This window comes from Homo sapiens, chromosome 20 (assembly GCF_000001405.40).
Source record: "Homo sapiens chromosome 20, GRCh38.p14 Primary Assembly".
NCBI classification, from domain to species: Eukaryota; Metazoa; Chordata; class Mammalia; order Primates; family Hominidae; genus Homo; species Homo sapiens.
Window position 1 is genome coordinate 62,182,619 of NC_000020.11, and position 21,471 is coordinate 62,204,089.

The 21,471-nt window shown below is 50.5% G+C and overlaps 1 protein-coding gene across 21 annotated transcripts, besides 3 other annotated features; it reads left to right on the top strand.

Moving 5' to 3' along the window:
• Window positions 39-228: a silencer, noted in NCBI's record as "silent region_13102". NCBI's record gives its function as "represses an Ori minimal core promoter by ATAC-STARR-seq in GM12878 lymphoblastoid cells {active_cell/tissue: GM12878}" and the evidence as "EXISTENCE:reporter gene assay evidence [ECO:0000049][PMID:35858748]".
• Window positions 268-452: a silencer, noted in NCBI's record as "fragment chr20:60757942-60758126 (GRCh37/hg19 assembly coordinates)". NCBI's record gives its function as "represses an EF-1alpha promoter that drives an FKBP-Casp9 reporter gene in an ReSE screen in HepG2 liver carcinoma cells {active_cell/tissue: HepG2}" and the evidence as "EXISTENCE:reporter gene assay evidence [ECO:0000049][PMID:32094911]".
• On the top strand, window positions 410-20,950 carry MTG2 (mitochondrial ribosome associated GTPase 2). 21 transcript variants are annotated; one of them, NR_169200.1, is made up of 9 exons: window positions 410-439; window positions 6,172-6,263; window positions 10,798-11,006; window positions 13,184-13,331; window positions 15,234-15,349; window positions 16,016-16,234; window positions 16,501-16,639; window positions 18,065-20,225; window positions 20,466-20,950. NR_169200.1 is itself a non-coding variant. In XM_047440103.1 (9 exons), the coding sequence occupies exons 3-8, from the start codon at window positions 10,803-10,805 to the stop codon at window positions 18,457-18,459; spliced, it is 1,221 nt and encodes a 406-aa protein (XP_047296059.1). In that variant the 5' UTR covers window positions 410-439; window positions 6,172-6,187; window positions 10,798-10,802; the 3' UTR covers window positions 18,460-20,225; window positions 20,466-20,950. The 21 variants fall into 21 exon arrangements, 7 of the variants coding, with proteins under 7 accessions (XP_047296059.1, NP_001371276.1, NP_056481.1 ...); NR_169210.1 differs by lacking the exon at window positions 6,172-6,263 and adding an exon at window positions 12,259-12,395; NR_169205.1 differs by lacking the exon at window positions 6,172-6,263 and adding an exon at window positions 14,835-14,909 and having other exon boundaries at window positions 20,547-20,950.
• Window positions 459-628: a silencer, noted in NCBI's record as "silent region_13103". NCBI's record gives its function as "represses an Ori minimal core promoter by ATAC-STARR-seq in GM12878 lymphoblastoid cells {active_cell/tissue: GM12878}" and the evidence as "EXISTENCE:reporter gene assay evidence [ECO:0000049][PMID:35858748]".
• Window positions 20,951-21,471: the final 521 nt, after the last annotated feature.

A 21,471-nucleotide genomic window follows, 5' to 3' on the forward strand; every position in this document is an offset into this window, starting at 1 on the left:
CGCGGCGGCAAGGCGAAGCCAGGGTAAGGGCGGTGGGGACGGCGCCCCGGGGCTGCCCTGCGGTCCCCACTGCCTGCTCTGCGTTGCCCCGTAGCCTCCTCGGGCAACGGCGGTGTCCTCGTCAGACCCGGGAGGTTCCGCAAACGCCGGAGGGGTCAGAGAAGCTGGGGGACCTTGGGCACCGGGTGGAACGGGCGGGGCGGCTGTCCTTGTGCTCGGGCAGCGAGGGCGCCGGCGAGAAGCGCGGCTGCAGCTGAGCGCTCCGCATCCCTCCTGCCGTTGCTCCTGCTTCCGCTACCAGGGACAAGGTCGCCTCTCGGTCCGTCGGCGTGTTTTCTGCACCTGCGCACTGGGCAAGCCTTGGGCTTCCGGAGCCAAAAGGCCCCGGAAGTGGTCGGCCGCTTGCGACGCTCCGGAAGTGACGTGCTTTCCCGAGCCGGTGAGTGCGGGAGCGGGGAGCGGGGAGCGTGGGCCTGGGGGGTGGTCGCGGCCCGGGCGCAAGGAGGGGCCTCGGCTTGGGCCGCGGGGTACCGGGGCGCTGGGAGCGGGAGAGGCCCCGGCCTAGGAGCTGAGAGGCCTGGAGGGCTGCCGGGCTGCGAACCCCGGCGGGACCGAGCGCTGCGGCCCTGGAGTAGCGAGCGCTCGGGCGGTGGGGAGCGGCGCCTTGCTCCCCGGTCCTGCCCCACTCTCTCCGCAGAACCGCGTTTTGGGGTCAGAAGTCTTGTCAGCCACCCCGGTGGTGCTCTGTCACGGGATGGGTGCCGTGTGTGAGTTCCGAGTCAAGTTGTTAGGAATTTGCCTTGATCCAGCGCTCTAAGTATTAAACATTTTAAAGTGATTATTGGCAGTATACAGTTGCACAAAACAACATAAATATATACACATTTGGATGATAAAACAACAATAAAGTTTTGTATTGTAAACGCGCCTCAGGGAGACGCATTTCCAGATAATTCACTGTCCGTGGCTGGCTTCTGCCCAGTGAGAGCGGGTTACCCGTTCTATTCCCATTTACGTTCTCGTAGCTGTGGATACCGAGGAACGGCGTTCACACAGACCTGTAGGTGGGAATTAGAGGGGTTGTTGGGCAGTGTCACTAGAGAAATACCTTTCTTTTGTAAAGGGGAGGACCCATTATAAAAGGGGGACGGGAAAGGAGAATTCAAATTGTTTTAAACGCAGGTTCGTCCTCAGGCAGTTCTGTTTTAGCAGAGAGAACGTAGCGAAACTTGGGCAGAAAATGGATTCCTTTGAAATTATCCTGGCCTTAGTCCCTTGGGAAGTCTGTGTAGGCGAACCTCAGTGAGAAGATTCCTGCCGTAAAATGCAGGTGTCAGCAGCATGCCAGGGAGGCCAGAGGATACTATGTGACTTTGGGCAAGTGACTGAACCTCTGTGAGTCTCAGCCTCCACTGCTTTAGATGGGCATAAAAAATGTAAAGTCAAGAATCAGGTTTCCGCTGGGCGCGGTGGCTCACGCCTGTAATCCCAGAACTTTGGGAGGCCAAGGCGGGCAGATCACGAGGTCAGGAGTTAAAGACCAGCCTGGCCAACATGGTGAAACCCCATCTCTACTAAAAATACAAAAAAGTAGCCGGGCGTGGTGGCAGGCGCCTGTAATCCCAGCTACTGGGGAGGCTGAGGCAGGAGAATCGCTTGAACCTGGGAGGTGGAGGTTGCAGTGAGCCGAGACCGCACCACTCTGCTCCAGCCTAGGCAACAGAGCGAGACTCTGTCTCAAAAACATACCCAAAAAAAAAAAATCAGGTTTCATGCTCACAGGAGGATTTGAGGAGGGTTTATAAAGGGACCGTTTGCAAAGGCAGAGTGCAGGTTAATGACAGTTGGTCCTTTAGCCTGGAACTGGTGGCAGTGGAGTTTCTACTCCTGGACTCCAAAGGATCAGGGAAGGCAGCAGTGATCGGGACAGGGAGAAGAGTCACTGGGGAGGGCTTCTTGGACTGGAGGTGTGAGCCTCAGTCTGAGTGGGCAGGGAGGTCCATGTCCCGGCCTCCTGCTCCTGCCTCCAGTCTCTGGTAGAGGGCCAGGTCCCAGTAGGTTTTCCTATGGGGCAAGCTCAGGCTCCTGACACACAGCACAGGGCAGGGTGGAAAGCTGGTCTGGAAAAGCAAATGGAAGATAGCTCGGCATGCAGTATTACCCCTCGCAGGGTATTATCGTTAGGAATACATTTAAAAGTGGATATATTGGTTGGGTGTGGTGGCTCGCGCCTGTAATCCCAGCACTTTGGGGGGCCGAGGCAGGTGGATTTCCTGAAGTCGGGAGTTCAAGACCAGCCTGGCCAACACGGTGAAACCCCGTCTCTATTAAAAATACAAAAATGAGCTGGGTGTGGTGGTGGGTGCATGTAATCCCAGGTACTCGGGAGGCTGAGGCGAGTGGATCACTTGAACCCATGAGGCGGAGGTTACAGTGAGCCAAGATCCCACCATTGCTCTCCAACCTGGGCTACAAGAGTGAAACTCTGCCTCAAATAAAAAAGAAAAAAAATGGCCAGGGCGTGGTGGCTGATGCTTGTAATCCCAGCAATTTGGGAGGCTGAGGTGGGCGGATCACGAGATCAGGAGTTCAAGACCAGCCTGGCCAACATGGTGAAACCCTGTCTCTACTAAAAATACAAAAATTAGCTGGGCGTGGTGGCATGCAGCTGTAATCCCAGCTACTCGGGAGGTTGAGGCAGGAGAATCCCTTGAACCCGGGAGGCAGAGGTTGCAGTGAGCTGAGATCATGCCACTGCACTCCAGCCTGGGCGACAGAGCGAGACTGTCTCCAAAAAAAATAAAAATAAAAAATAAAAAATAAAATATATACACATACATATATATACATGTATATGTATGTACACAAATTAGCTGAGCGTGGTGATGGGTGCCTGTAATCCCAGCTTCTTGGAACGCTGAAGCACAAGAATTGCTTGAACCCAGGAGGCGAAGGTTGCAGTGAGGTGAGATCATGCTATTGCACTCCAGCCTGGGAGTGAGACAGAGTGAGACTCTTGTCTCAAAAAAAAACCTTTCTGTGATGAGGGCAGTGTTCTAATATGTGCTGTCCCATATGTACCCACTCGTGACATGTGGCTGTGTGCACTTAGATGTTACCTCAGGGACTGAGTTTTTACATTTCAGTTAATTTTAGCCAAATGGCCACATTTGGCCAGTGGGGACTGTGCTGGACAGGTCAAGGACAGCCTTGTTGGAAGGAAAATAAAGACACCAAAGAGCAGCGTGAAAACAGTGGGATTTGTTCATCCGGCAGGGGAGAGAGCACAGCACTCAGCGGGCCTCCAAAGAGAAATTGAAAGGGCAAAAAGGAGGAAGCAAATTAGGCAAGACTCCGAGTTCAGGTCTCTGGTTGGCTTTGCAACCTTCTCTGCGGTTGATCTGCAGGTTCCATGTCACCTGCATCAGGAAGCCTGGTTTCCAGAATATCCGGGCTGGATGGTGTAACGTTCCAGCAGGCTGAGCCGTGGCTATGCTTGTGTTGATGAGCCCGAGTTGTTTTTCCCCAACCTGTTTTTATGCACCACCCCTGAGCCTTCCCATCTGATAGCTCTGGGTTAAGTCTCTTCACCTGTCTGCCCAGTTTCCGCAACTTTAAAATGAGGATGATGAAGGACTTACTTCACAGAGTTTTATGAGGACTGAATGAGTTAATCCCTGAAAAATACTTAGAACAGTATTTTGCAAGTAGTGAGGTAGAGGTCTTGAAGGTTTACTGTGAAATTATTTTCAGGTACTTTTTGTATTTGGCACTACCATAAATGGGGTTTTTTCTTAATTTTAATTTACAGTTGTTTGCGGCTGGTATTTAAGAATACAACTGATTTTTTTATATTAGCCTGATAACATGCCATCTTGCTCAGTTCCCTTCCCTGGGACTTTTTTTTTTGTTTTTTTTTTTTTTTTTTGAGATGGAGTCTTGCTCTGTCACCCAGGCTGGAGTGCGGTAACGTGATCTCGGCTCACGGCAGCGTCTGCCTCCCAGGTTCAAGCGATTCTCCTGCCTCAGCCTCCCGAGTAGCCGGGACTACAGGCACGTGCCACCACGCCTGGCTAATTTTTATATTTTTAGTAGAGATGGGGTTTCACCATGTTGGCCACGCTGGTCTTGAACTCCTGATCTCAAATGATCCGCCCACCTCGGCCTCCCAAAGTGCTGGGATTACAGGCATGAGCCACCGTGCCCAGCCTTCCCTGGGATTCTCTGTGGAACTCTGTCCTCTCTTCTGTAAACAGGGACAGTTTTACTTCTTCCTTTTTTCCCCCTTTATTTCAGTGTGTGAAAGGACATTGTTGCATAGCAGTGGTATGTGTGGAGGCCCTTTTTCTCCATCTTGGGAGGTAACCATTCAGTATTTCTTCATTAAATGTGATTAGCTGTCGGCCGGCCCTACGTAGTGCCCTTATCAGGGCGAAGATGTTCCCGTCTGTTCCCAGTTTGCTGAGATGTTTTGTTTTCCTCCTCATGAGTGGGTGTTGAGACGGTGGTACCACCTGTTGATATAGTGAAGTGCCTGGGCTGAGTTTTGACTGCTTGATGTGGCCTTGTGTTCTGAGATTACCCCTACTAGGTCTTGATGTGTGATCCTTTCTGAACTGCTGGATTCAATTGGGTAATATTTTGTTAAGAGTTATTTGCATCTATATTCATGAGGGGTATGGTCTATAATTTTATTTTTTCTTAGTGTCAGATTTTGGTACTAGCCTCATAGGATGAGTTGGATAGTGATCTCACTTCCTCTATTTTCTGAAAAAGCTTGTGTAAGATTGGCACTGTTTCTTCCTGGAATGTTACATGGAATTTACCAGGAAAACAAGCCGAGCTAGAGTTTTCCTTTGGGGAGTGTTCTTTTATAAGAAATTTAACTTATTGAGTAGATACAGGGCTATTCTAGATTGTTTATTCTTGTGTTTCTTTAATAAGTTGCCTTTTTCAAGAAATTTGTCCATTTCATGTAAGTTGAATTTGTTACTGAATTTGCTGGCATGAAGTCGTTCCCAGCATTCTCTTGCCCTCTGGCTGTCTGTAAGGTGTGTCCTGATAACCCGTTGAACATTCCTGACAGTGGAGGTTTGCGCTCTCTCGTTTTCCTGATCAGGCTAGAAGTGTGTTAGTTAGCTTGTCTTTTCAGTGAACCTGTTTTTTTCTGTTACATGTTATTGTTGTCTCTTTATTTCTGCTCTGTATTATTCTCCTCCTTCTACTCGACGCTTACTTTGCTCTTTCTGGTTTCTTGATTTGGAGCCTTAGGTTACTGATTTTAGATCTTTCTTCTTTACCAAGGTAGCCATTAGAGCTGTAAGTTTCCTTCTAAACACTACTCTAGCTGCATCTCTTAAATTCTGGTATTTCATGGTGGCGGGCGCCTGTAGTCCCAGCTACTCGGGAGGCTGAGGCAGGAGAATGGCGTGAACCCGGGAGGCAGAACTTTCAGTGGGCCGAGATCACACCACTGCACTCCAGCCTGGGCGACAGTGCGAGACTGTCTCAAAAAAAAAAAAAAAAAATTCTGGTATTTTGCATTTCCATTATAATTCAGTTCAAAACATTTTGTAATTTCTCTTTTGATTTCTTCTTTGGCCTATGGATTATTTAGAAGAAGCTTGTTTGATTTGCAGGTATTTGGGATTTTCCTAGATATTTTCTAGCTATTGACTTCCAATTTAATTCCGAGAATAGACCCTGTGGTTGGTATTCATATACTTCCCCCCAGCCCCACCACAGAAGCTCTGTCACACAGGCTGGAGTGCAGTGTGTGATCATGGTTCACTGCAGCCTCCAACTCCTGGGCTTAAGTGATCCTCCCACCTTAGCCTCCTAAGTAGCTGGTATTATAGGCATGCACCACCATGTCCAGCTAATCAGCTAATTTTTTTTTTTTTTTTTTTTTTTTGGTAGACACAAGGTCTCGCTATTTTGCCCAGGCTGTTCTCAAATTCCTGGCCTCAAGTTTTTCTCCTGCCTTGGCCTCTCAAACTGCTGGGATTACAGGTGTGAGCCACTGTACCGGGCCTTTCTGTATACTTCAAGTAATCTCTAGATTATTTATAGTACAATACAATGTAAATGCTATGTAAATAGCTGTTATACTTTATTTTTTAAATTAAAAAAATTGTTGTATTGTTACTGGTTTTTTTGTTTGTTTTCCAGATATTTTTGACGTGAGGTTTGTTGACCCCACAGATACGGAGGACTGACTATGATTTCTTCTCAATGTATTGAGACTTATGACACATCTTATGGTCTGTTTGATGACTTCCACCTGTACCTGAAAACAGTGTATATTGTACAGTTGTTGGATGTACTGTTATGTAAATGTCAACTAGATAAATGTTTTGATAGTATTGTTCAGATTTTATGTCTTTACTGTTTTTATTTTTCTATTTTTAGACAGGGTCTCAGGCCAGGTGTGGTGGCTCATGCTTGTAATCTCAGCACTTTGGGAGGCCAAGACAGAAGGATCGCTTGAGACCAGCCTGGGTAACTGGGAGACCCTGTCTCTGCAAAAAAAATTTAAAAATTAGGCACAGTGGCACTTACCTGTAGCCCCAGCTACTCAGGAGGCTGAGGCAGGAGGATCTCTTAAGTACAGGAAGTCAAGGCTGTAATGAGCTGTGATTATGTCACTGTGCTCCAGCTTGGGTGACAGAGTGAGACTCTGTCTCAAAAAAAAAAAAGAAAAAAAAGTGTCTCTTTCTCTCATTCTATTGCTCAGGCTGGAGTGCGGTGGCATATTCATAGCTCATAGCAGCTTTGAATTCATGGGCTCAAGTGATTCTCCCACCTCAGCCTCCAAAGTAGCTGGGACTATAGGGGTGCGCCACCATGCCCAGCTAATTCCTTTGGTAGAGACAGGAGTCTTGCTATTTTGCCGAGGCTGGTCTCGAACTCATGGCTTCAAGAGATCTTCCCGCCTTGGCCTCCTACAGTGCTGGGATTACAGCCAGGAACTGCTGTGCCCAGCTAGCTCTTTTTAATCCACTTTGTCAACCTCTGCCTTTTAATTAGAATTTGTAAACATTAACTTTTTTTTTTTTTTTTTTTGAGATGGAGTCTCGCTCTGTCTTCCAGGCTGGAGTGCAATGATGCAATCTCGGCTCACTGCAACCTCCGCCTCCCCGTTCAAGCAATTCTCCTGCCTCAGCCTCCTGAGTAGCTGGGATTACAGGCACACGCCACCATGCCCAGCTAATTTTTGTATTTTTAGTAGAGACGGGGTTTCACCACGTTGGTCAGGCTGGTCTCAAACTCCTGACCTCGTGGTCCGCCCGCTTCAGCCTCCCAAAGTGCTGGGATTACAGGCATGAGCCACCGCGCCCAGCCAACATTAACATTTAATGAAATTATTTATATGGTTAGATTTAGGTGCACTTTTATTATTTGTTTCCTATTTGTCCCCTCTGTTTTTTGTTTGTTTGTTCTTTTTCTTTGGAATTGTTGGGCTAGTTCTGAGCATTTCATTTATCTGTTGGCTTTTCGGATCTGTGTCTTTGTGTTGTGTCTTAGTCATTGCTCTGGAGGTTCCAGTCTGCACACCTGTTAGCCTTCACTGTCTGCTCAGAGTTCATACTGTGCCCCTCACAGAAACGTGGGGACCTTGCAGTCATCTGGGTCCCTCGAATCCCCTCCTGACCTTTCTGTTGCCTTTCATGTGGATTACTTCTGTGCGCGTTGGAAGCCAACTACGCAGTATTTTTTTGTCTACAGTCTTACATATTTAAGAACTCCTAAGAGGAAAACAATAGTATTTTATATTTACCAATTCTGTTGCTCTCCCTTCCCTCCTCAAGATCCAGGCTTCCCTCTGGTATCATTTTCCTTCAACCCGAGGAACTTTCTTGAGCATTCCTTATACAGCAGCTGTATTAGTGACAAACTATGTTCGTTTTCTGCCATCTAGAATCTTTATTGCACCTTCGTTTCTGAAAGATATTTTCCCTGCGTATAGAATACCTCGGTGCCTCTTTTCTGACAACACTTAAAAATATCCCTACATAATGGTTAAAAGCAGGGTGGATCCTGGCCTAGATCCTGGACCAGAAGAAGGACGCTCTTGGGAAACTGCTGAGCCCCAAGCCCCACCTGGAGCTCAGTTAGTAGCGGTGCAGCGGCGGCGGCCGCACAGGCACGGCTGCGGGGGCACTGGGGAGGAAGTCCGCAGGGATGCCTTTGCACCTTGTCCACAAATCTAAAACCATCTCAAAATCAGCTGTCCTGTAAAATATATTTACAGGAAGGGTATCAAGGGGAGGGTGTCCCATGGAGAGGTGGCCCGGCACGGGAACTCAGCCAGTCGGAGAACAGAGACCCGCTAAAGAATGGGGAGCTCTGGGAGCAGGCGGGGAGGTGGAGCTGAGGGCGGGTCACAGCAGGTAGGGGTTGAGCAGCTCCATAAATATCTTAAAGTGCATGGAGGCCCGGTTTCTTATAGGCGGAGAATGGAGTTACCAAGACCACAAGAGAAAATTAGAATGACCCCAGAGTGCTGAATTGGGAATGAGGACGTCCTGTGCACAGCTGGCCTGCTGCCTCCCACGTGTCAGGGCTGGCTCGGGAGTCAGGAGAGGCTGAGGAACCTTCCAGCCCAAGGAGCTGGACAAGGTGTGGCAGCTGCAGGCAGCCGGGATAGGGACGCAGACTTTCCTACAGGGAGAGGCACTGCTGAGACCGGGGCCCACGTGGGAGGGGCTGTCGGTCATGGCCAGTCTCAATGACACCCTGGTTCTGGAGGGGACACCATTTTCTCTAGGAAACACACATGGACTGTTCTGGGTGCAGGGAAGTCCAGTCGGCGACTGACTCTTAAGTGATTCAGGAGGAAGTTCTTTGTACTCTTCTTCCAGCTTTTCTGTAACTGTGATTGCCTCAGAATTAAAGCAGAATGGCCAAGGACCCCACAGAGATAGTGACCCCCCCAAAGGAGGTGGCACCTTTTCAGAGGAGTGAGGCTGGGGAGAGGGAGGCGTCCGAGGCACTGCGAGGGAGGAGGCAGGCGGTGTCCCCTCGTTGTGCTCCCGCTCTGGCCCCGTGTTGAGTTTTCAGCCGTCCACTGGGGCCCCTTCTGTACACATCTTTTGTAGTCAGGATGGGGAGCACCTTGTAAGGTCCCTCCTGTGCGACCTGCTGAAGACTGGGGAGCTCTGGGAGCAGGCAGGTATTTGTGCTCATGGTGAAGGGAGAGGGGCTGTCCTCTCCTGGAGGGCAGGGTCAGGACTTCCTCACTGTGCCCTTGGCACCTGCAAGGTAGCCGGCTGTCATGAGCGGCTTGTTGAATGAGTGACAGCTTAAATGAGGCTTTGAGAGTGACAGTAGCTGGCACTTAGAGTCTGCAGCTGTGCCAACCCTGTCGCTCCGGGGATATTTCCACCCACACTACACATCAGGCACCAAATGTGTGGGTTTTCCACACCAACAATTCGCCAGTCCTCTGCAGACACCAGCCAGGCATCCTGTAATTCAGTTCAGTCTGACCCTGCCGCGGTTATCAGGGACCCCAGCGTTAGGGGCTCAGTCACCCCCCACTTCAGATGCTAATTGCAAGTAGTGGGTCCCTGGGGTACCCACACTTCTGTCCATCTTGGCTACACATTGGGAGTTCCTACGACCCCTTCAGGTTTGATGATTTGCGGTAGTGGCTCACAGAACTCAGGAAGGCACTTGGTTTGCATTGCCAGTTTACTATAAAGGATGCCACAGCGGGCACAGGCAGGCAGCTGGGTGAGGAGGGGCACGGGCGAGGCCCAGAGGGTCCTAAGCATAGGAGCCTTTGTCCCCAGGGAGTTGTGTGGCTGGCCTTACAGCACGGGGATGAGTTCACCAAACTGAAAGCTTTCCAGAGCCCCTAGTTCCAGGATTTCCATGGAGGCCTCATCATGGAGACATGATCAGTTATGAACTCAGCCTCCAGCCCCTCTGCCCTTTTTGGAGGGTGGGGGTGGGGCCGAAAGGTCCAGGCTTCTCATCGTGGCTTGGTCTTTATGATGACCAGCCCCCTCCCAAGGCCATCCAGGAGCCCACCAAGAGGTGCCTCATTAGAACAGAAGACTCTCCTGTCACCTGGGAAGTCCAAGGGATTTAGGAGCTCTGTGTCAGGCACCCCTATCGCCCCTGTCACTCAGGAAATTACCAGCGTTCTGAGAGCTCTGTGTCAGGAGCCAGGAGCAGGGGCCAAGTGTGTTCTTCTCATTCTATCGGTGCCACAGCCAGGGCCGCGGTTGTGCAGCCGTGTGGATCAGCTCAGCCCGTCCTCACCCAGCCGTGTGAGGAGGCCGAGGCCACACAGGTGGATGGCCTTCCCTTAGAGTTACTTTCCAGAGCCTGGGTGCTTAGCCGCTATGCCCCATGTTTAATATTCTTGTGTTCCAATGTAACAACTTTAAAATTACACAGGATAACACTCTTGATAACATTTTAATAAATGGGTGTTTTTCTTTTCAAGAAATTTTGACTTGCACTTCAGATTTCCTTTTTAATATTTTCGTTGAGCGGAACCTTGCTATTCCATAAGAGGATGTGTCCAGTGTTGTGGAAGATTTCATGTTTTAAATCCTTTGTACAGAAATCCTGCTCCCAAGTCACAGATAGGCTGACGGGTCAGAGGGCAAGACGTGACCCAGGGCCGAGAGGGTGAGTGACCAGGAAAATCGGATTCATCAGTTCACTTGTTTGTTTCAGAAACGTGCACAAAGACCTGCTGCATGAGGCCCTCGTCTTCAGTTTCTGTTTCATGCCCAGCATTAAACCAAGTATCTCATTTTGCCAATTTGACTTCTGTAGGGGCCATGGCACCTGCAAGGTGTTTCTCAGCAAGATTGAGGACCGTGTTTCAGGGCGTGGGGCATTGGGCTTTGTCCACATGGGCTGGCCTGAAGCCCAGCCGGCTACTGCCACAGCGGGCTTCTCCCAGGCTGCTCTCGGTCGGCCGTGCGGACCTCGCCAAGCATCAGGAACTCCCGGGGAAGAAGCTGCTCTCTGAGAAAAAGCTGGTGAGACTCCTGGAGTTAGAGCAGCTTGCCTGTCTCCTCCTCAGAAGGCACAGGGTGTGGTTTCGGGTCCTCCTCTGGGTCTCATCTCTGTTGATGTTAGTTGATGATCTTAGTGATGGGGCACGTGGAGCTTCTTGAAAATGACAGGGTGAAACGCAGGCCTGCGTGCTAAATCCCACGCTCAGCAAATCCCAGCAGGCTGGGAGAGGCGCTGCGTGCTTGGAAAGCCGTGATACAGGCTGCTCATTTTCCCATGAGCCTGTGTATTTTACATGTATGTTACATATATCCTTTCATATGTGTGGCTATTTCTTAATTTAAAACAAATGCGGAGGCTGGGCACGGTGGCTCATGCCTGTTATCCCAACACTTTGGGAGGCTAAGGCAGGCGGATCACTTGAGGTCAGGAGTTCGAGACCAGCCTGGCCAACATGGTGAAACCCTGTCTCTACTAAAAAAAAAAAAAAAACCTTTTTAAATTAATAAATAAATAAAAATAAAACAAGTAGGGGGGAATATACCTTCCGTTTTATGGTTCTTTAAGCCTTATAAGTTTTTCTTGTTCTATTTACCAAAACCTCCTATTTAAAGCATGAATTGTCTCTAATAAATTCAAGAAAATGCACGTTTATGACTCCCTTCGTTTCCTGCTGAATGGAGGGGCTCCAGATAAGCATTACTGGGACAAACAGCACTTCCAGTGGAAAAGCCGCTTTGGTGGGATGTGTGCTCAAATAGCTGAAGCGTTAGCACAGGCTTGTCTCCTCCCCAGGAGAGAAAGTGAGTCGAGGTTTTGTCCTCCACGAAGTGCTCACCAGTGGGGCTTTCCTCCCTGTCTGGTGGATTTTGCTTGCGTTGGCGCATGACAGCATTACACATTGAAATTTGGAAATAACAGTTCGTGGTTTTCCCACATGGTGGTGCCAAAGAATCTTAGAATGTTTGTGTTTTAAATTTTTAAATTTTTTTTTGTGTTTAAATTTTTGTGTTTAAAAATTTTAAATGTTTTAAAATTTTCTTTTAAAAGAAAAAAAAACTGCATTTGAGGAGTATTGGATCGGAGTGCAGAGGCAGCAGCCCTGGGTGGCTGTCAGGGGCAGGGCACGTCTGTCTGTGCACGTGGGCAGAAGCCAGGTGTCCTCCCCAGCGTGTGGTGAGGTTGCAGCACCCTGGGCTGCGGGAGCTGACCCTCCTGTGGTAGGAGCTGTTGTGTGTTGAACAGTAACCTGGTTGGTTCTCTCTCTTCATCCAGATTGCACCTACCTTAGTGACCTACAGAACAGCTTTCCTAGCCGGGCACAGTGGCTCACGCCTGTAGTCCCAGCACTTTGGGAGGCCGAGGCGGGTGGATCACGAGGTCAGGAGATCGAGACCATCCTGGCCAACACGGTGAAACCCCGTCTCTACTAAAAATACAAAAAACTAGCCGGGCGCAGTGGCGGGTGCCTGTAGTCCCAGCTACTTAGGAGGCTGAGGCAGGAGAATGGCATGAACCTGGGAGGCAGAGCTTGCAGTGAGCCGAGATCCCACCGTTGCACTCCAGCCTGGGCGACAGAGCGAGACTCTGCCTCAAAAAAAACCACAAAAAACAAAACAGCTTTCCCTCCAGCGAGGGGCTCTGTTTGCCTCACCACATTTTTTAAATGAGCCCTGTTTTCATCAGGCCCCAGAAAATACTCTTTCTTCAGAGTCGAAAGCCTGGTAATTGTCCAGGAACGATTCTAACTTCCTATTTCTCTATCGCATCCTGGGAAACTAGAACTTTCTAAGAGTAAAGATCTATGATTTCAGGAATGGTTTTTTTGAATGGAAAGACACATTATATAAGGAATATTTCCTAAACAAGATGTGGGTTTTTTAGCTTAGAAATGCTGATTTTTGTTGTTGGTTTTTAAATCAGTCTCACCCAGAGTAAGAAATGCTGAATTTTTGAAGTGTAGGTCCACACAGAATACTTACATCTGCATTGTGGATTTACCTCAGTCTACAAATGCAACTGACTTGTGGAGACTGTTTTTTATCTTCGGAATTTAGAAGTGATTAGCAATATTAGTGTCATTAACCTCTAATTTTAATAGGCTGTTATAGATAGAAGATGTACATCTCAAATGGATGCATGGTGTCTTGAAAGGACCTTGGAGTGTTGAGATGACGTGGGATATTTGTGTTCTCTGTAGAAAAGGTACTTTGTGGACTATCGGAGAGTGCTTGTCTGTGGAGGAAACGGAGGCGCTGGGGCAAGCTGCTTCCACAGTGAGCCCCGCAAGGAGTTTGGAGGCCCTGATGGAGGGGACGGAGGCAACGGTGGACACGTCATTCTGAGAGGCAGGTGCCCTGGGGCAGTGCAGCGGGGTTGAGGAGGGGCCCCGAGACTGCATGTGCATTTGAACTAAAAACCTGATGTATGGGCAGGCACAGTGGCTTATGCCTGTGATCCCAGCACTTGGAGAGGCTGAGGCAGGAGGATCACTTGAGCCCATAAGTTCAAGACCAGCCTGGACAATATAGCAAGACCATGTCTTTTTTGTTTGTTTGTTTTTTTGTTTTTTTTTTTTTGCCTCAAGGTTTGTGGATCTACAAAAAATTTTTGAAAAAATTAGCCAGACATGGTAGCGTGCACCTGTGGTCCCAGCTACTCAGGAGGATTGCTGGATCCCAGAAGTTCAAGGCTGCAGTGAATCGTGATCACACCACTGCATATTCCAGCATGGGTGACAGAGCAATACCCTATCTCTAAAAAAAAAAAAAGTAAAATTTTTAAAACCCAGCTAGGCGCAGTGGCTCATGCCTGTAATCCCAGAACTTTGGGAGACCGAGGCGGGTGGATCGCTTGAGGTCCGGAGTTCGAGACCAGCCTGGCCAACGTGGTGAAATCCTGTCTCTTAAAAAATAATAATAATAACCAGATGTGGTGGCACACACTGATAGTCCCAGCTACTTGGGGCTGAAGCAGGAGGATGGCTTGAGCCCAGGAGGTCGAGGTTGCAGTGAGCTCCGATTGTGCTGCTGCACTCCAGCCTGGCCAACAGAGGAAGACCCTATCTCAAAAAAACAAAACAAAACAAACAAACAAAAAAAACCCTGATGTATGGATATCATTTTTATAAATTATATGGATATTCAGCCGGGCGTGGTGGCTCACACCTGTAATCCCAGCACTTTGGGAGACCGAGGCGGGTGGATCGCTTAAGGTCAGGAGTTCGAGACCAGCCTGGCCAACATGGTGAAACCCCGTCTCTACAAAAAATACAAAAAAAATTAGCTGGGCGTGGTGGTGGGCACTTGTAATCCCAGCTACTAGGGAGGCTGAGGCAGGAGAATTGCTTGAATCCAGGAGGCAGAGGTTGCGGTGAGCTGAGATCGTGCCATTGCACTCTAGCCTCGGCAACAAGAGTGAAACTCCGTCTCAAAAAAATAAAAACATAAAACATAAAAAAAAAATTATATGGATATTCATAGTTAAGTAGCACACCCAAAAAAGCAACTTTGAGGCCAGGCGCAGTGGCTCATGCCTATAATTCCAGCACTTTGGGAGGCCAAGGCGAGTGGATCACCTGAGGTCAGGAGTTCAAGACCAGCCTGGCCAATATGGAGAAACCCCATCTCTACTAAAAATAGAAAAATTAGCCAGGCGTGGTGGCAGATGCCTGTAATCCCAGCTATTTGGGAGGCTGAGGCACGAGAATTGCTTGAGCCCAGGACACAGATGTTGCAGTGAGCCAAGATCATGCCACTGCACTCCTGCCTGGCTGACAGAGCGAGACTCTGTCTAAAAAAAAAAAGAAAAAGCAACTTTGAACATGTTTTGTTTTGTTTGTTTAATTTCAGGAGCACAGAGAGTTTCCTGTCAGGGAAGCTGACATGTCGGTCGCGTGAAAGCACGAGGCCTGTGTGGTGGGTTCGGTGGGTGCCGCTGGCTGCTGGTTATATTCACACTCAGCATAGACGCATAGCGAGCTGGGAGTGAAGCCTTCACAACAAAAGCATAGAATACAGCTACTGTAAAAAATAAGAAATTTAAAAATTTTCAGAAATGATAGCACTTTTTGAAGGAAAATAAGGATTTCATTTTTAAAAAATCACTTTGCTGGTTTTGTAACTTCTGCTGCACCCTCACTCCATGCTTCCATACCTATTTTTAAGGTTCTTAAACTGGACCCAGACACATCAGCAATAGGCCATGGTTGTCGTAACACAAAGGGACTGAGATTCTTGTTCTTGCTTTAGTTGACCAGCAAGTCAAGTCCCTGTCGTCGGTCCTGTCGCGGTACCAGGGTTTCAGTGGAGAAGATGGAGGGAGTAAAAACTGCTTCGGGCGCAGTGGCGCCGTCCTCTACATCCGGGTGAGCCGAGACTGCCGGACCTGGCCCTGTCCCCGTTGTTCTGGATCATCCAGCTCCTGGGGGCCACCGTGTGACCCACGGGGCCCCTGTGGCTTGATGCCCACAGCTAGGAAACAGCACAATGGAAACGGAGGCTGGCAGACAGCGGGAAAGCAGCCCCACCCCTCAAAGCAAACCCAGACGGGCATTTGTACCAGGGTCTCACACCATGTGCATGTCTAGTGAAAAAGTCATGAAACGATTCTCTTTTAAAAAGAGGGAGCCCACGGCACGGACGCTTCCTCCGTCTCTGACCCCATGAGCCGACCTCTGACTGAGGGAGGCCACTGGCACCCAGCGGGCCTGCGTCTCCTTCGCGAGCTGAATTCACTCGTCTCTTAGATGTTTTTTCTGGTGCTTCAGTTCACACTAACGTTTTAGAAACACTATTTGAAAAAGCCCTTTGTGCAGTCAGAAGGGTGTGTACGCAGCCCCGTGAAAGCCCTGGAGCACTGGGACCTTTTCCTTGTGCTCCGGAGCTGTTGGCAGAGGTGAGTGGGGCGGGCAGCTGCCCGGGGCACAGTCCGCTCTTGTCTTCTTTCCTTAGCGCTTGCTTCAGGAATGGGTTAAGGCCTCCTTTCCTCACTGCTGGTAGAGCTCAGCTGATGAGTGCCTGCTGTTCCCCAGGTCCCCGTGGGCACGCTGGTGAAGGAGGGAGGCAGAGTTGTGGCCGACCTGTCTTGCGTGGGAGATGAGTACATTGCCGCGCTGGGCGGGGCAGGAGGGAAAGGCAACCGCTTCTTCCTGGCCAACAACAACCGTGCCCCTGTGACCTGTACCCCTGGACAGCCAGGACAGCAGCGAGTTCTCCACCTGGAGCTCAAGACGGTGGCCCACGCCGGAATGGTAGGTGTCCCCACTGCCAACAGCATCTGCACACACTCAGCTCTAGAAAATCCACTTTTCTCAATGGGGATTTGCCAGTGGCCTGGAAGAGAACAGCTTTGCGACTCACCTTTTTCCCATCAGTACACTGCTGACTTGGTCGTGAGCATGAGCCCTTGTGACTCCCCCAGCCCTGAAATCCTCCCTCCAATCCCAGTTAGTTACAGACTCTGCGCTAACAAAGGTGCTGCCGCGGGCCGTGCCACCGTCTTCCCTCTTTCCCCCAGGTGGGATTCCCCAACGCCGGGAAGTCCTCACTGCTCCGGGCCATTTCAAACGCCAGACCCGCCGTGGCTTCCTACCCGTTCACCACCCTGAAGCCCCACGTCGGGATCGTCCACTACGAAGGCCACCTACAAATAGCAGGTAGAACTTCCAGAATTCTCCCAAAGGTTAGATTTAAATGATGTAATTCAGAAAAGTAATGATGTAACTCTTAAATTTAGCTTTCTGTTTAAAATGTAGCATTGTTGGCCAGGCGTGGTGGCTCACACCTGTAACCCCAGCACTTTGGGAGGCCGAGGCAGGCGGATCACGAGGTCAGGAGATCGACACCATCCTGGCTAACATGGTGAAACCCCGTCTCTACTAAAAATACAAAAAAATTAGCTGGGTGTGGTGGCGGGCACCTGTAGTCCCAGCTACTTGGGAGGCTGAGGATGGAGAATGGCATGAACCCAGAAGGCAAAGCTTGCAGTGAGCCGAGATCATGCCACTGCACTCCAGCCTGGGCGACAGAGCGAAACTCCATCTCAAAAAAAAAAAAAAAAAAGTAGCATTGTTTTTCCTAATGTAAACAACTTTTTTTTTTTTTTTTTTTTGAGACGGAGTCTCACTCTGTCACCCTGGCTGGAGTGCAGTGGTGCGATCTCAGCTCACTGCAACCTCCACCTCCCATATTTAAGTGATTCTCCTGCCTCAGCCTCCCAAGTAGCTGGGATTACAGGCGTGCGCCACCACGCCCAGTTAATTTTTTTGTATTTTTAGTAGAGACGGGGTTTCACCATGTTGGCCAGGCTGGTCTCGAACTCCTGATCTCAAGTGATCTGCCCCCCGCCCCACCTTGGTCTCCCAAAGTGTTGGGATTACAGGCGTGAGCTACTGCACCTGGCCCTAATTTAAACAATTTTCATCAGCCTGTTCTCTATGAAAATCAGGTTCCCACCCCATCCCCTAGGAATCTGTCAGTTACAGTTCAGAAACCTGCATTGAAATTCCAGCCGAGGACAGTATTTCTTCCCACTCTATTTGTCCCCTCTCATCTGTGGAAGCTCAGCAGCATCACAACACGTGACTTAAAAGCTTTCCTTGTGCCGTTTGAGAGAATAAAACTTTTTCCCAGAAGACAATACACCCATTAAAAATAGTAAGCCTGCTGGTAAGGTTATTTGGATGGCACTTTATATCTGCAGAGTACTCTACATGTAAATTTCTATCAGTAATCAAATGATTAGTAGAGTACAGGCAGCCATTTTCCTCTTTTTTGAATCCTATTAGAAGCAGAAAGAGAAGGTATGAAATGTACTCTACTAGATAGATCCATCGCCACGCTGGTCTCCCAAACATCTCCAAGCATTGAATTCCTCAGGTGTCAGTTGGCCCAGTGAATCACCCAGGTGCTAAATCAAATGGCTTCAGTTCAAGGCGTTCCTTGAAAGGAAAGTGTTAGAACTCAGGAAATCCGCCTTCGCAGTGGGCTCCAGGCCTTCTCTCCCAGGCTCGAGGTGGAAGGCGCTCTTGGGTGCTGGGTGTGCCAAGTGGTCACCTCGTGTGCCCCTGTCTTCCCTGCAGTGGCCGACATCCCCGGCATCATACGAGGCGCCCACCAGAACAGGGGTCTGGGGTCCGCCTTCCTCAGGCACATCGAGCGCTGCCGCTTTCTCTTGTTCGTGGTGGATCTTTCTCAGCCTGAGCCGTGGACTCAAGTTGACGATTTAAAATATGAACTGGAGATGTATGAAAAGGGCCTGTCTGCGAGGCCCCACGCAATCGTCGCAAACAAGATTGACCTCCCTGAAGCCCAAGCCAATCTGTCCCAGCTCCGGGATCACTTGGGACAGGAGGTCATCGTGCTGTCGGCGTTGACCGGCGAGAACCTGGAGCAGCTGCTGTTGCACCTGAAGGTGCTGTATGACGCCTACGCGGAGGCCGAGCTGGGCCAGGGCCGCCAGCCGCTCAGGTGGTAGCCACGCCAGAGCGGGGTCGCCTCTGGGCCTCTGTCTGAGCAAACCTGGGTGTGAATTCGGTGGTTTTGAATGCATAAAGTGCCTTGTGGACACGGGGGAGTTGTGGTGCTTCTGGGTCTCTGGGCCCCGCCTGCTGGCCTGAGATGCCCTCATGTTGGGAAGCATTCCGTGCCCCCTACCCCGCCTGCCCTCCGTATTTCCTGCACCTGTCAGCCTGCACCGACTGATGAGCCAGTTGCTCATTTGTGCTGATTAACACCCCTAATAAGGGGTTGGGGTGCCCATAACGGGGTGGCCCTGCCGCTGACTCAGGTCTCCGCCATGCACGCGTGGACTCTCGGATGAGCTCAGCAGAACCGCACAGCCAGAGCCCCAGGTCAGAAGTGCAGACCAGGGTTCTCAGCACAGTGCCCGTCGTGCTTCCATGGCTTGCTACGGAGAGAGACCTCTGGATCCACACTGGGGCTGCGTCTGGCCCGTTGTCCAGCAGCCCTGCGGTACCGCAAGCCCAGGCACCAGTGTCTCGGGGGGCCTCACTGCTGCGCAAGGGGTGGGGCCGAGGATGCAAGTCCAGGCAGAGCGGCGCAGGCAGCTGTGAGCTTTTCTCCATCAGCCGTCTGAGAAGAGCAGTGAGGCCAGCTGCTTCCTGTCCTTCAGAACACTTCTCTGTGCTCAGTGGGAGCCAGGAAGCCTCAGGCTTCACGACTGAATGCACCCAATATCCGACCTGGCTGCGTGTTTCTGGCTGGGCTGCCGTGTGCACAGCAAGTTAACTAGAGGGGCTGTGGGCCATGGAACTGTCAGCGTTATTCTCAGAAGGCGGCCGTGGCATGGGCAGGGTATAGTGAGGAGTGGAAGGAGACGTGTGCCTGGTAATATGGGGCGGAATTTCCACTCAGCTCCATTTGCTGGGGATTTAAAGAGAACCCTTGTGCTACGCCAGGCAGTTACCGAGCCGAAGGGAGATGATGGGCCTTCGCCCCTCAGTGGGATGGCAGCTGAGGGGGCCCTGCATTTGACCGTCGAGACTGCAGCAGCGCCTTTCCTGTCTGTGGTTTAAGTCTTTGCAGTCAAGTACTGATGCATCCAAGCCAGGCCCATGCCTGGTGTCTCCCTGACTGCAGAGGAGCCCCAGGGCAAGGACAGCTCAGCTGCTGGCAGCCTGCCTGGCCCATAGACATCCCCCAAGTAGTCTCAGGCCTCTGACATGTCCCTGAGGGGCCCCTAAGAAAGAAAGTGGAGGGGACACTCCAGAGGCTGTCGTGGGAGGATCATGTGAGCCTGGGAGGTCAAGGCTGCAGTGAGCCGTGATTGCACCACTGCACTCCAGCCTGAGTGACAGAGCGAGACCCTGTCTCAAAAAACAAACAAACAAACAAACAAAAACAGAACATTCTGGGCACGGTGGCTCATGCCTGTAGTCCCAGCACTTTGGGAGGCCGAGGCTGGTGGATCACAAGGTCAGGAGATTGAGACCATCCTGGCTAACACAGTGAAACCCCGTCTCTACTAAAAATACAAAAAAATTAGCCAGGCGTGGTGGCGGTCACCTGTAGTCCCAGCTACTCGGGAGGCTGAAGCAGGAGAATGGCGTGAACCTGGGAGGCGGAGCTTGCAGTGAGCCGAGATCACACCACTGCACTCCAGCCTGAGCGACAGAGCAAGACTCCATCTCAAAAAAAAAAAAAAAGTGGAGGGGACAAAGAAGCAGAGAAGGATGATCAGAAGGGGACCCCCAGCCCTTGGAGGAGAGACGGCAGCCTCAGGTGAGATGAGCCGCAAGGGTCCGGGGCCGCGTCTCTGCACGCTGGGGTGGGGCGCGCTTTGCACAGCAGGCCGGTGCCTGGGCTTTCAGGAGCAATTCCGTTTTGATCTCACATCAAATCTGCAGCTAGAACATGACAGTCCTTTTACCCGAAGCTTTATTTTAATGTCTTATAATTTCAAAGGTCCTTCTATCCTAGAAACCAGAGATGGGTTTTGCATCTATTTGCTTTTTCTTTCAGGCCGCCACAAAGGATTTTGTGGAGTCGCCCCAGGCCTGACGGCGTTAATTATCCCTGGCTTTCATCTTGATGCTCTTGCAGGGGAGGCTCAAGATGCCTTGTGGCTCGACCCCTGCACGGAGCCCCCAGCCCAGCCTCCCCGTGGGTTGAAACCTTGATCTGGGCCTGACTGTGGCTGCTCTGGGGACATGCCCTCGTCCTTTGCTGAAGCTGAGGCTCCAGAGGGGGAGTCACTGCCACGAAGGTTGCCCAGAACTTTCCTTGCTGCAAAAAGCCCCAAGACTTCTCCCTGCCACACACACAGCTTTTGCCATCGCGTTCTAAAAGCTGACAGCTTTCTCTCCAACACTGTTCTCCCTGAGTAGGGTAAAGCTACACTTGGCTTCCCCAGTTTCCTGTTTCCTGCCTAGAAACAAATTTTTGTCAGTCTGCTTTTCAAATGGGATATATGATTCACATACCATAAAATTCACCACTTTATATAATTCAGTGGTTTTTTTGTATGTTCAGAAGGTTGTGCAACTGTCAAACTGCAAATTCCAGAACGTTTTCATCACCCCGAAAACAGACCCTGTGCCCGTTAGCGTGAACCCGCCTTCCCCCTCCCCCGGGCACCCACCCGTCTACCTTCTGTCCCCAGGGACCTGCCTTCCAGACAGATCCTGTAATTGGAGTGTACACTATGTGGCCGTCTGTGCGGGTCTTTAGTAGCCATGCCTGAGGCGGCCGACACCGCAGTCTTTAGTTACGGAAGGGACCGCGGGTGCAGGCCAACCCCCCCACAGTCAGCATGTGTGGGCTGCCTTGGACACAGGGTCTCTGTGTATCCCCAGCAGCCTCAGAACACCTGACCCAGAGACGGCGTCAGTAAGCGCTGGCAGGTGCACGGAGGATGGCGCTGGCATGAGGAGCCTTCAGGCTGCTCCTAGTTTTAAACTATTTTTACTTTTGTTTTTATTTTTTTAAGACAGAGTCTCACTCTTTCGCCCAGGCTAGAGTGCAGTGG